Genomic DNA, 1,270 nt, shown 5'->3' on the forward strand with positions numbered 1-1,270 from the left:
CAAATACAAAAATTAGCTGGGCACGGTGGCACGTGCCTGTAGTCCCAGCTACTCAGGAGACTGAGGCAGGAGAATCACTTGAACCCAGGAAGTGGAGGTTGCAGTGAGCTGAGATCATGCCACTGCACTCCAGCCTGGGTAACAGACTGAGACTATGTCTCAAAAAAAAAAAAAAGAAGCTGAGCACAGAGAGGCCAGGTAATTTACCTAAGATCACTCAGCTGGTAAGGATGGTGCTAGCAGCCAGCCCCTACACTCTTAACCTGATGCTTCGCTTTGCATCACTAAACTTCCTTGGCTCAAGTCAGCTGCAGAGGGGCCAAAACTCATAACCAAGAATGGCACCTCCTTGCCACAAAGCCCCATACTCCTCCAGATATGCTAGAGATCAGCTGGGCAACCTCCACTGCAGCACTCACTCACTCCCTGTGCCTCTTACTCCCCGTGCCAGGCCCATGCTGGGTCCTGGAAAAACAGGTGAACTCCTACCTAATAGTGGGAGAGGGAAATTTAGGGGACTTCACCCAGGCTGGGGGTCAAGAAGGGAAGCACTTTAGAAGAAAGTGCCGTTGGCTGCGCGTGGTGGCTCACACCTATAATTCCAGCACTTTGGGAGGCCAAGGCAGGAGGATCGCTTGAGCTCAGGAGTTTGAGACCAGCCTGGGCAACATAGCAGGACCTTGTCTCTACAAAAAATAAAAATAAAAAAATTAGCCAGGCGTGGTGGCATGTACCTGCAGTCCCAGCTACTCAGGAGGCTGAGGTGGGAGGATCACCTGAGCCTGGGAGGTTGAGGCTGCAGTGAACTGTGATTGTGCCACTGCACTCCAGCCTGGGAGACAGAGGGAGACCCTGTTGCAAAAAGAAAAAAAAAAAAAAGAAAGAAAGAAAAAGAAAGAAAAGAAAGAAAGTGCCTTTGCAGCCAAAAGTCAAAAGCTAGCAATTTGGCTGGTAGCGTTTAAACGTGGGTAGGAACGGAAGGTAGTGGTCGCTGGTTATTTGCTGTGAGTACACTGTATAGATAGATTTCCATTTACTCGTTCACTTTCCTACTTATGGCCTTTAGGCTGTGCCCAGGTTAGAGACTGTGAGAAAAGCTGCAGTGATCTCATTCTTTCTAGAGTCTTCCTGTGCCCCATGAGAAGGCATATGCCTAGGGAAGGAACTGCTGGATCTGAGGCTTGGCGATGTTCCTGCTTTAGAAAGTCATGCCAAACAGTTTTCTAAAGTGTTGGTGCAAATTTACACTCTCAGAACCAGGAAGAAGAGA

This window comes from Homo sapiens, chromosome 3 (genome assembly GCF_000001405.40).
Source record: "Homo sapiens chromosome 3, GRCh38.p14 Primary Assembly".
Lineage (NCBI taxonomy): Eukaryota > Metazoa > Chordata > Mammalia > Primates > Hominidae > Homo > Homo sapiens.